The sequence below is a fragment of the Homo sapiens genome, chromosome 18 (assembly GCF_000001405.40).
Source record: "Homo sapiens chromosome 18, GRCh38.p14 Primary Assembly".
Lineage (NCBI taxonomy): Eukaryota > Metazoa > Chordata > Mammalia > Primates > Hominidae > Homo > Homo sapiens.
In genome coordinates, this window is record NC_000018.10 from 61960977 (window position 1) to 61974923 (window position 13947).

Here is a 13947-nt window from a genome sequence, read left to right on the forward strand (position 1 = left end):
GTGTTGGGATAACAGGTGTGAGCCACCATGCCCAGTCTATGGACCCTTTCTGGAAAAGATGGTTGGTTTGGAAATTTGACAGTGAAGCCCAAGGAAGGGAGGATTTGAGTAAGAGAGGTTTGGTCCACTTATTCCTCCAGTCTCTGGCGTAACCCACATCCCTGCCAAATTAGTGGGAGGAGCATATACTGGGACAAACCTCTCTTCAGTGCTTCCCCTTCTCCACACTCCTGGCATCAAAGGTCTTCAGCAATTTTCCCATCTCCTTATTGAAAATCAATTATCTGTTCATTCATTCATACAATGACAAGGGTCTAGGTGTACAGGGGAGTACGCAGTATTAAAATAAGGACAGAAGGAGTATAAGGGTAACTCTTCAACTCTCAACCCTCTGGATCTTAGTAGCCCAAATCACGAAGGGAAATTTCCAGACCCCTCACTTTTGAGCCACAGGTAATAGGTTATTACAGGTGATCTGTCTAAGAACTATCTTAGATTGACCTTGTAAATAATGATAGTTCCTTATAATAGAAGAAGGGAATCAGACCACTGTTGACCTTTCCATCTCTGCAATGTGCTGATTCTGGGGACCTTTAAGGTTGAAGTCCAGCCATAGGATAAATTTCTTTTTTCTTTTCTTTCTTTCTTTTTTTTTTTCCTATGGAGTGTCGCTCTGTCACCCAGGCTGGAGTGCAGTGGCATGATCTCAGCTCACTGCAACCTCCACCTCCTGGGTTCAAGCGATTCTCCCACCTCAGCCTCCCGAGTAGCTAGGATAACTGGTGTGTGCCACCATGCCCAGCTAATTTTTGTAGTTTTAATAGAGACTGGATTTCACCATGTTGGCCAGGCTGGTCTCAAACTCCTGACCTCAGGTGATCCACCTACCTTGGCCTCCCACAGTGCTGGGATTACAGGCATCAGCCACCATGCCCAACCCATAGGAGAAATTTCTAAAGGCTTGGAAACAAAGCAGACAGCCAGCCAGGGAGACCTCACTAGGGAGAGGCCTAGGAAGCAGGCAAGACTGTAGTCCACAAAGAAGCCACAAAAAACAGATGCCTTCCTAGCTCCCCAAGACTCCACCTGGTCCAAGGTATCATGGCAGAGTAATTCTAGGTGTGGTAGGCAGTCTCCAAGACGGCACTCAATGATTCTTTCTCCTGGCATGTCCTCCTCTCCCACATTGAATAGGGCTGGCCTGCGGAGCAAAAGGATGTGCAGAATTGATGGTCCGTGGCATCCATGCTCATAAAAGACATTGTGTCCTCTGTTTCTCTTCCATCACTCACTCTGGGAGAACCCAGTTACCATGTCACAAAGACACTCAAGTACCCCATGGAGAATTCTGCATGGTGAGCAAGTGAGGCTTTCTGCCAAAAAGCAGCATCAATTTACCAACCCTGTGAGTGAGCTTTCTTAGAAGTGGGTTTTCCACAGGCCAGGCACAGTGGCTCATGCCTGTAATCACAGCACTTTGGTAGGCTGAGACGGGCAGATCACTTGAGGCCCAGAGTTCGAGATCAGCCTGGCCAACGTGGTGAAACCCCATCTCTACTAAAAATACAAAAAATTAGCCGGGCGTGGTGGCGGGCACCTGTAGTCCCAGCTACTCAGGAGGCTGAGGCAGGAGAATGGTGTGAACCCGGGAGGCAGAGCTTGCAGTGAGCCTAGATAGAGCCACTGCACTCCAGCCTGGGCGACAGAGCAAGACACCGTCTCAAAACAAACAAACAAAAAAATACAAAAATTAGCTAGGCATTGTGGCCAGCGCCTGTAATCCCATCTACTTGGGAGGCTGAGGCAAGAGAACTGCTTGAACCTTGGGGGTGAAGGTTGCAGTGAGCTGAGCAGTGAGCCGAGCTCACACCACTGAACTCCAGCCTGGGCAACAGAGCAAGACTCCATCTTGAAAAAAAAAAAAAAGAAGTGGATCTTCTTCCAACCTCACTCAAGCCTTCAGATGCCTGTAGCCCTGGCCAACAATATAAGAGACCGTGAGCCAGAACCACCTCGCTCCTGACTCTCAAAAACTATGACATAATGGATGGTTGCTGTTGTTTGCAGCTGTTAAGTTTGGGGACAATTTGTTATGCAGCAAAAGATAAATACTATACTAGGTCTATTACTAAATACAAAATCATGGTGATCACAGCTCAGAAACATGGAGAAATCTTTATACATATGGACTTTCCCTGAATACCCGGTAGTAACCATACCAATTCTGTCATTGCCCTTCATGGAGTCTAAGAGCTATTTTATCCTCTCAAGATTTAACAGTGTCAAAGATTTGGAGTGTGAGGAACAGTAGCAGTACCAATCTACATTACAGAGTGCAGATGGGTGAAACAAATATAAGACAAATAGAGGGCCTGGTTAAACAGATGAAAAAAGGGTGGTGCATTCGATCTTTTCTCTGTTACCAATGTCATGGGTTAATTTCCTCAACAGGTTGTCAAAGTAATGTCTTAGGCACCTGGAAAAGGAGCTGAACTTCCCCTAATAAGTCATCCTCATGTATCAGCCCCACCACACCCCTTGGCAATATCGGATATTTAGCCTTACAAAAAATTCCACAAAACTTTCCAAACTATTATCCCTCAGTTTGACTCCTAAAATCTCCTAAAATGATGTTGATAGAAGATTTAAAAGTAATGACTTCTGTCACCTCTTTAGCCCATGTTATTTTGGAAATGTAAAGGCATATTTACAAATGTTCATCCATTCCAGAGTCATCAAAATCAGGTTGATTTTATCTGTGCAATATTGTTGAGTTAATTTATTCATTGGAATCAATCTAATTTCCAAAGTTTCCCTGGGCCTGCCCAGAGGCACCCAATGCAACAGACACTTACACAAATAGCAGCAAAAGGGCTATGACCATGTTTAGTTTGGTGCTGTCTGGACTTCAAAGTCACCCAGAGGTCTGGCAACAGCCCCAAAAGTAATTTTCCCAAACACTGACCAAGGAACTTCCCCCTGAGATTAAGCTTCAGAATGGAAAAATAAATATTGAAAATAAGAAGTGGAAAAAATGTAGTCCCTACCCCCAAAGAAGATTTCTAAAAATCGATGTCAAGTAGTTAATAAAAACCCAGCAAACCAAAATGTTAGGAAATGACAGAGGCGTGTTCTAAGTCTCATTGAAAGGATAAGGATCCTGAAAAGGCCTCTGGCAACTATATTTGCACACTTACTTTGCTGATATTTCTTGCAGATTCCATTAGTTTGCATTTAAAACACGAGAAAATTAGGAGCAAAGTGTAGGCCTAAATATTTTCCCTCCAACTTCTCATTCTATGGTGCGTGGTTGGTACTTGAATGGGCAGTGCAAGCTGAAGTCCCTGAGAGGCGCCCAAGAATGGACAGAGCATCAGTGACATCTTCAGCTGACCAGCAGTTAACAACCACTTGTGAATTGGATCATCTGACACTGATAACACCTTGTGTTCCTAGAAAGTGGGGACTCTGATAGGTACATGGTAATAACAAACAACTTGGAAGTGTTCCCCATTTCCTTGAAAATGGATAGTATTGAATGATTTTGAAGTCGCAAAAAGAGGTTGGCCAGCCAAGTGAGGTGCTAAATCTGTATTACCTGCAAGTACAGAGATACGTTTTTCTAATTATAGTTTAGCTCTCCATCACCTGGTGGCCCCTCTTGTGATCTCAATAAGCAGGGATAATGTGAGAGCATATTACAGGAGGGTATTATAGATGTTGGAAAGAGAATATAGAAATGACTCATAAACTCCTTGAAGGTAAAATGTTTTTTTGAGTTAAATGGACCTAATGCAAATTGCACCATTGAGTCAACTGGTCCTTTGATCCTTTTTAGGCATAGAAACCCAGCAATTTGCCTCTGGGCAAAGTTAAAGCTAGAACCTTAATCACTTTTGTAGATCTGTATTTTTCTACAATTCAATCTATTTAGTCAGTTTACCAGCTAGGGTACCCTGACTACTACTACTTCTCTTTGGTACCTAGACTTCATATTTGACAGTGATCTGCAATAGTGAATTACTCCAGTGTGCCTTCCTGGAACACACCAGGCAGATCACCAGATGGACTGAGGGTCCTGACAATGCTCAGCAACCCTGTGAAAATATCTGGGGCTCACGACGAAGTGGACATATCTTCAACAATGTTAGTAGGAGGTGCTTACGTAAAATTCATTCTCAGGGAGAAATGATGTCACCTTTCTAAATACTGGTATAGATGGAAGAATAAAAGGAGAGGTAGAGGGGTAGAAGCTCTGTCCAGGTGCTTGGAGCCTAGAAGCCAGGGTCCCAGAGAGGGTCAAAGGATACAGAAAAGAGTGAGCTAAGAGCAGCCCAGACAAATTTTACGTTGCTTCATAATTCTGCCAACAGCACGATCAAATCTGAATGCAACAGCCTCCAGAGGACGTGGCAATCTGTAACCTATGTTCGAGGCTCCTCTGAGCTTTTTCTCCTGGTTGGGTGGATGACATCATTTGACAAGTCATTTTCCATTATGTCAGGAGTTTCAGGGACATGGAGAGATATCAACAGAATTTAGAAGAGACTGCAAGGTAATGCTCCTCGGGATCCATTCCCAGTCCTCTCACTGACTCACAGGATGACTTTATTCTTCCCATTGTTATTAGGGCTGTTTTACTGAAGACTGATTCAATACTTAACAAGATTTGGAGGTCAACCCAGGACCAATCCGTGGGGCTTAGTATCTAAATTAAATGTGAAACTTTCTCTGAGACACAATTTAGGAGAAAGGCCAATGTGAAGGTTATGAAATCTAAAAGAAGTGGAATTGGAAGTTTTGACACATCTTTCTCCCCTTCATAAATTTTTTTAACTTTACTGAGATGAAATTTATATAATATAAAATTCACCATTTTAGAGCCAACAATTTTATGACATTTAATGCCTCTACAATGCTGTACAACCACCATCTCTATCTAGTTCCAAAACATTTCTAACACTCCAAAGTAAAGCCCATACCCATATCCTATCTCCTCCTACCCCAACCTCCACACCCCATCCCTGGCAACCCCAATTTGCCTTCTGTCTTTATGGATACATCTATTCTGGATATTTATTATAAATGGAATCATAAAATATGTAGCATTCTGTGTCTGGTTTCTTTCACTTAGCATAACATTTTGGGGTTCGTCTATATTATGACATGTATCAGCACTTCATTCCTTTTCATGGCTGAGTAATATTCTGTTGTATGTATATGCCACATTTTGTTTATCCATTTATCTGTTGTTGGAAGTTTGGGCTGTTTCCACTTTGGGGCTATTGTACGCCCCCTCTTTTAATTTCTGTCTCTGCCCCCTCGCACTCTAAATTTTCTCTTTTTCTTTCTTGAATGTATATCCTTCCCTTTAGAAGAAACATGTTATTCTTAGCTTATCTCCAGGGGGTTTCTGGAGGGCTGAGAAATGAAGAGAGGGTTGTGGGTCAGAAGATAAGGAGGGAGAGGAGTCTGGGAAAGAAGGGATGGCATGAAAGAACCATGAGCAGGAACACCCACCTGGAGCAGAAGGCATAGGAAACAGACAAAGGAGAGAGGTTTTCTGTAAGTGGTCACTCTGTGTAGAGGACTCACAGGACATTTCCTCAACCGGCTTTAGAATGCTGGTTGAAAGCTCAACTATGCTGTTGCTTCTGCCGCCCTCAGGAGAACATTACTCCAAAGCTTAAAGCAGGTATTGGGACATTTTTTCCCCTAGGTTTCTCTAAGTATTGTTAGCCCAGATATTTTCTTTTCTTTTCTTTTTCTTTCTTTTTTTTTTTTTTTTTGAGACAGAATCTTGCTCTGTCACCCCGGCTGAAGTGCAGTGGTGCAAGCTCAGCTCACTGCAACCTCTGCCTCTCAGGTTCAAGCAATTCTCCTGCCTCAGCTTCCCGAGTAGCTGGGATTATAGGTGCACACCACCACACCCAGCTAATTTGTATATTTTTAATAGAGAGGGGATTTTGTCATGTTGGCTAGGCTAGTCTCGAACTCCTGACCTCAAGTGATCTGCCTGTCTCGGCCTCCCAAAGTGCTGGGATTACAGGCATGAGCCACCACGCCCAGCCTAGCCCAGATGTTTTAATAAAAGAATATCAGTTTAAATCCACTGAATCCCAAGACTGTCTTCTATTTTTAAATTTTTATTTTGTTTTTAATTGACATATATATTCATGGTGCACAAAGTGATGTTATGATACATCATAACATGTATATATGCATGTTATGATGTATGTATATATTGTGGGATAAGTAACTAATTAACATATCTTTCACCCTACATATTTACCATTTTTTTGTATTGAGAACATTTAAAATCTACTCTTTTAGCAATTTCGAAATAAACAATACATCACTGTTAACTGTACTCTCCAAGCTGGGTAAAACTTATGCCTCCTGTGGAACTGAAACTTTGTACCCTTTGAACAACATGTCACCTTCCCCAGCCTGTCACCCTAGCCCTGGTAACCTCCACTCTACCCTCTACTTCTATGACTTCAACTTTTTTAGAGTCCACATTAAGTGAGATCATGTGGTATTGGCTAAGACAGTCTTTAAGAAGGAGAACTGAACTTCAGGAAAGGATTTCAATAATCAAGTATAGAAATCACTGGTGTGTGTCTGTTACAGGTAGTGAGATAGGCATGAGCCGGTTAGGAGACGGCCCTTCTCCCCGACCCACTAGGCATGTCAGGCGATGGTTCGACAGCTGTCACACTGCCTCTCTAAAAGTGATAATGCAGCCAGTGCCAGGGTGCCAGGGAGAGACAATCTCTTGATAATCCACAGCTGTGAATGTTAAAGTGTTCATTGAATGCAGGCATCAAGGGAAGCAACTTTCCAGGCATGCGCAGTAAGAGACGAAATGGCAAAATATGCCCTTCTAGAGGCACTCCATCGGAAAGGGGAAGAAAGCTTCGGATGGGGGTCGGGCGCAGAGGCTCACGCCTTTAATCCCAGCACTTTGGGAGGCCAAGGCAGGCGGATCACCTGAGGTCAGGATTCGAGACCAGCCTGACTAACATGGAGAAACCCCGTCTCTACTAAAAACACAAAATTAGCTGGGCACGGTGGTGCATGCCTGTAATCCCAGCTACCGGGGAGGCTGAGGCAGGAGGATCACTTGAGCCCAGGAGGCAGAGGTTGCAGTGAGCCGAAACGGCGCCATTATACTCCAGCCTGGGTGACAGAGCGAAACTCCATCTCAAAAGAAAAAAAAAAAAGCCTTAGATGGGCATGCATGCAGCTTCCTACACACACTGCTCGTGCTCACCTCCCAAGGGTAAGGAGGGCACTGCGCATGCGGGCAGCCCACCCTCAGGGAAGAATCATGGGAAAGAGGCAAGCCTATACAGTCCTAAAATCAAGGTTAAACACGGCACTTGACCTTCAGGTGCCCACTTGGGTCTCTTCCAAGTGAATTTTCCTCTTTCCTGTTCTAAAACCTTTTTAAATAAATTTCCATTCCTGCTCTGAATCTCGCCTCAATCTCTTCTGCTTTATGTCCCTCAGTCAAATTCTTTCTTCTGAAGAGGCAAGAATTGAAGTTGCTGCAGACCTGCACGGATACTCCACTGGTAACTCGGACACCTTCCGCTCATAACGTATCTATTTTCTTGGAGGTTTCCCTGTTGGGAGAATTGTTCACTTAGAGGGAAACTAATGCCCACCTATTCCTGCCATAGGGAGGAAAGCTCTAATTCATCTTTTTAAAAAAGGAAATGTTAACAAAAGACTTTTTAAAAGAGTTTTAACTTTTGTAAGGTTAAAAAAGACTTTTGACTTTTAAAAAAGAGTCCACTCATAAAGAAATTACAGACCTCCGTGAATGTCACCTGCATGTTTTCCTAATTAACATTGAAGGAGGTTGGGTGTGGTGGCTCATGCCTGTAATCCTAGCACTTTGGGAGGCCAAGGCGAGCACATCACCTGAGGTCAGGAGTTCAAGACCAGCCTGGCCAACATGGTGAAACCCCGTCTCTACTAAAAATACAAAAATTATCTGGGGATGGCGGTGGCCACCTGCCATCCCAGCTACTTGGGAGGCTGAAGCAGGAGAATCACTTGAACCTGGGAGGCAGGGGTTGCAGTGAGCCAAGATCGTGCCATTGCACTCCAGCCTATACAAACAGAGTGAAACTCTGTCTCAAATATATAATAATATATGATATATAAGATATAATATATATTATATATTATACAATATATGATATATATAAGATATAATATATATTATATATTATACAATATATAATATATTATACAATATACAATATATAATATATTATACAATATACAATATATTATATATTATACAATAATATAATGTATTATATATTATACAATAATACAATGTATTACATATTATACAATAATACAATGTATTACATATTATACAATAATATAATGTATTACATATTATACAATAATATAATGTATTACATATTATACAATAATGTATTATATATTATACAATAATGTATTATATATTATACAATAATATATATTATACAATATGTTATATATTATACAATATATTATATATTATACAACAATATATTATATATTATACAACAATATATTATGTATTATACAACAATATATTATATATTATACAACAATATATTATATATTATACAACAATATATAATATATTATTCAATAATATATAATATATTATACAATAATATATAATATATTGTTGAATAATATGTTATATATTTGAGACAGAGTTTCACTCTGTTTGTATAGGCTGGAGTGCAATGGCACGATCTTGGCTCACTGCAACCCCTGCCTCCCAGGTTCAAGTGATTCTCCTGCTTCAGCCTCCCAAGTAGCTGGGATGGCAGGTGGCCACCGCCATCCCCAGATAATTTTTGTATTTTTAGTAGAGACGGGGTTTCACCATGTTGGCCAGGCTGGTCTTGAACTCCTGACCTCAGGTGATGTGCTCGCCTTGGCCTCCCAAAGTGCTAGGATTACAGGCATGAGCCACCACACCCAACCTCCTTCAATATTAATATATTCAATATATATAATATATTATACTATAATATATTATATATTATAGTATAATATATTACATATTATACTATAATATATAATATATTATAGTATAATATACATTATACAATAATATATATTATACAATAATATATATTATACAATAATATATAAAATATTATACAATAATATATAATATATTATACAATAATATAATATATTATATATTATACAGTAATATAATATATTATACAATAATATATTATATATTATACAATAATATATTATATATTGTACAATAATATATTATATATTATACAAAATATATTATATATTATACAAAATATAATATATTATATTATACAATAATATAATATATATGTTATACAATAATATATTATACAATAATATAATATATTACACAATAATATAATATATTATACAATAATATAATATATAATATATTATACAATAATATAATATATAATATATTATATATTATACAATAATATAATATATTATATATTATACAATAATATAATATATTATATATTATACAATAATATAATATATTATATATTATACAATAATATAATATATTATATATTATACAATAACATAATATATTATATATTATACAATAACATAATATATTATATATTATACAATAACATAATATATTATATATTATACAATAACATAATATATTATATATTATACAATAACATAATATATTATATATTATACTATAACATAATATATTATATATTATACTATAACATAATATATTATATATTATACAATAACATAATATATTATATATTATACTATAACATAATATATTATATATTATACAATAATATAATGTAATATATTATACAATAATATAATGTAATATATTATACAATAATATAATGTAATATATTATACAATAATATATAATATATTATACTATAATATAATATATTATACAATAATATATTATATATTATACAATAATATATTATATATTATACAATAATATATTATATATTATATAATAATATAATTTATATATTATACAATAACAATATATAATATATTATACTATAATATATAATATATTATACAATATATACAATATTATACAATTATACAATAATATAATATATTATATATTATGCAAAATATATAATATATTATACAATATAATATATTATATTATATAATAATTATTATTTTCATAATTATAAATTATCTTATATATATAAATTATAAATTATATATATAAATTATAATTTATATATATTATATAATAATTATTATTGTATAATAATAATTATATTATACAATAACATAATATATTATATTATACAATAACATAATATATTATATTATACAATAACATAATATATTATACAATAACATAATATATTATATTATACAATAACATAATATATTATACAATAACATAATATATTATATTATACAATAACATAATATATTATACAATAACATAATATATTATATTATACAATAACATAATATATTATACAATAACATAATATATTATATTATACAATAACATAATATATTATATTATACAATAACATAATATATTATATTATACAATAACATAATATATATTATACAATAACATAATATATATTATACAATAACATAATATATATTATACAATAACATAATATATATTATACAATAACATAATATATATTATACAATAATATAATATATAATACAATAATATAATATATATTATACAATAATATAATATATTATACAATAATATAATATATAATACAATAATATAATATATATTATACAATAATATAATATATAGCATATATCATATATATCATATCATAATATATTAATATATGATATATAAAAGTGGATTCTTTTCATCTATATATAAAAAGATGGGAGGGGATAAATCACAAAGGAGGGAGCCAATTGCATGCTCTCCTTTCTTTCTACTGACATATAAATTACTGAACCCACTCCAGTGTCTCCCAGTTGTTGAAAATATCTGTGAACACTGCCTCAGTGTTATAAGATCAGCAGGCCCAGCGTTTTTAAGCAATTCATCCTGTCAGCCTGTTGGAAAAGCTTTAAGTATGACACCTCCTGAAGCCCATAATTCCTTTTCTCTTATCAAACATACTCCTTTTATTTTTCCTTTAAGGTCTTAAGAGATCAAAAAGCAAGGTGAGGGTGAAACTGGTCACCAAATAAAGATGGGTACCAGAGGTAATAGTGTTCAAACAGGAGCCTCCACTTGATGGAATAAAATCCAAAATACAAGTCAGAAATGAAACCAGACAGAAAATCAGATATGAATTATGATCTACTTCCCTGGAACTCCACTCTACCCCTGAGCAGCATTTTCTTTTCCATTGTCAGAATGTGTGTGTGTATACATGATTTTATGTAACATAAAAATTACCACTGGGTGCATGTCTACATAAGAAACCCAAATTTTCTACTGTAGATCAGAAAAAAAGAGAGTGGCAATCTCTCTTGCTTTCATTGGTTACTCTGTGTCTTAACAACCTGACACCAAAATTCTATGGGCTCTTCTCCCAGCACCCCAGGAGAAGGAGGCAAGAGACAGAAGGATGTCTTTTCAAAGGACACAGCATGAGGAGCAAACAACAGGGTCTGTTGGTTCTTAAGCCCAAGATTAGCATTTAAATTCCAAAAGGATAAAATACAACAGGTCATAAAGAAAGGCATCTGGATTACAACTCCAGTCTATCACATGGCTGATGACCAGCAAGAGGTGAAGCAGTGGTTCTCAAAGTGTGGGCCCTGGAGCAACCACATAAGCAGCAGCCTCACCTGGGAAGCTGTTACAAATGTGGACTCTCAGACTACAGCCCAGGCCACTGTATTCCTCGGCTCAGGCTGCCACAACAGAATACCACACACTGGTTGGCTTAAACAACAGAATTCATTTTCTCACAGTTATGGAGGCGAGAAGTCCAAGATCAAGTTGACATCAGAGTTGGATTCTGGTAAGGGCTCTCTTCCGGGCTTGTAAACAGCTGCCTTCTCATTGTGGCCTCACATGGCCTTTGTTCTGTATGCACTTGAAGAGAGAGAGCTCTGTGGTTTCTCTTCCTCTTTTTATAAGGACAGGAATCCTATTGGATTAGGGCTTACCCTTATGGCCTCATCTGACTTTAATCACCTCCCTACAGACTCTACCTCCAGATAGCATCATATTGGGTGGTAAGAGCTTCAACATATGAATTCTGGGGGTCACATTCGGTCCATAGCACCTGCCGAATCAGAGATGCTGAGGGTGGTGCCCAGTTAAAACTGTGCTTCAGGGGATTCTGACACACCCTAAAATTTGAGAACCGCTGACCTAAAAATGAATAGATTGTTCTTGCTTTGATACCGGAGTTCTGAAGGACTGGGTTCAGTAATACGTATGTTAGTGGGAAGAAAGAAAAGCCTGCAGTCACCCACCTCCTCTGTGTTCTGCCCCACCCCAGCTCTGTCAATATTAATTAAATAAGAACACATACAGGTCATGTTCATGGAGGTTCCCATTTCTTTTTGAGTTCATTATTTTTTAGCACTTAAACCTCTTTGAGTATTTGGACTTTAAAAGTAGGCCTATAGAACCTGCCAAAATGATCAATTGTGTTGACTTTTTTGTTGCCATGATTAAGAGTGTTTTCATAAGGATTTTTGGAAGTGTAAAAGTAATCCACACACAGTGAGAAGGGAAGAAGCCAAACCACTTAATGGAGCTAAGAAGGGCTTTTCTGCTGGGACAACTGCCATTAGAGGGGTGACCTGCAGCGTTTGCATATTAAATATGGCCATTTTGTCCCTGGCCCAGCAGTGTGAGAGAAACAGAAGTTTGGAGAGAAATACCCTGGGCCAGAGAAAAGGGCTTCTTGTTCCCAGCAGGGAAGTTTTTATGGCAGCACTTTGGCTATAAGCTATCGCTTTCTGCCTACAGCAATAGAAGCAGAATAAATAGCCTCTGCCAGCCTGGAGAACAAAACAGGAGACAAAACAAAAGAAAACAAAACTAGAAAAGAATAGAGAATATATTCCTGAAGATGGGCTAGATGAAAACAGAGAGGAGCTGTGCTCATGCATTTGAACTTGCGGTCAAGAATCCAGGGTCCAGTCCATTAGGCAACCACAAAGCCTGGACTTACCCCTGGAACACAGAGAGACAAATTAAAGGGGTGACATGAGCAGTACAAGGCAGGAACCCAGTTCAGCCCAATTCAATGGAAAGTGAAATAAAAGAAAACTGAGATACAACGCATTGTGAATTTTTAAAAAATCTTTTCTCCAATTGGATAATGCACAGAGATACCTGGGGAAAAAAATAAATAAAGAAGAACAGCAGAAACAACAACAGCATCAGCTAAAGCAGCTTGACAAGGGTAGGGGGAGAAAATCTTGACCGCCCCATGGGGACATTTGGCAATGCTTAGAGATATTTTCGGTTGTCACAACTCACTAGGGGAAGCAGGGGTGCTACTGGCATCTAGTGGGTAAGGCCAGGGCTGCTGCTTATCATGGGACAATGCACAGGACAGCCCCCCTCAACAAAGACATAGTTGGCCCCCAATGGCAATAGTGCCAAGGCTGAGAAATCGTAAGTCAAAGTATTGGAAACAGCTTTTCACATGCAAATATGGTAACACTCTGGGCCTCGCCACACAATTTTTGCTCATTCTACAAGAACCCACTCAGTTATTTCAATCTCTGGAGGACCTTCTACGGCTGTCAAAGCACTTTGCTCCCACAGTTCTCATAGCAGTTAATGTCTTGTGTTGCAATGATTCATCCATGTGCTTTTCTTTCCCACTCACATGACTCTGAGCTTCTTAAAATTAGGGCCCAAATATACTTCGTTGTAATCTTTATCATGTCGTAAATATTCAATGATGATGGGTTGAATGG

The 13947-nt window shown here is 37.2% G+C and overlaps 1 annotated feature.

Moving 5' to 3' along the window:
* Positions 3967 to 4136: an enhancer, noted in NCBI's record as "experimental_48472 CRE fragment used in MPRA reporter constructs". NCBI's record gives its function as "activates a minimal promoter by MPRAs in K562 erythroleukemia cells, with activity observed for the introgressed 18:59632261 variant allele {active_cell/tissue: K562}" and the evidence as "EXISTENCE:reporter gene assay evidence [ECO:0000049][PMID:34662402]".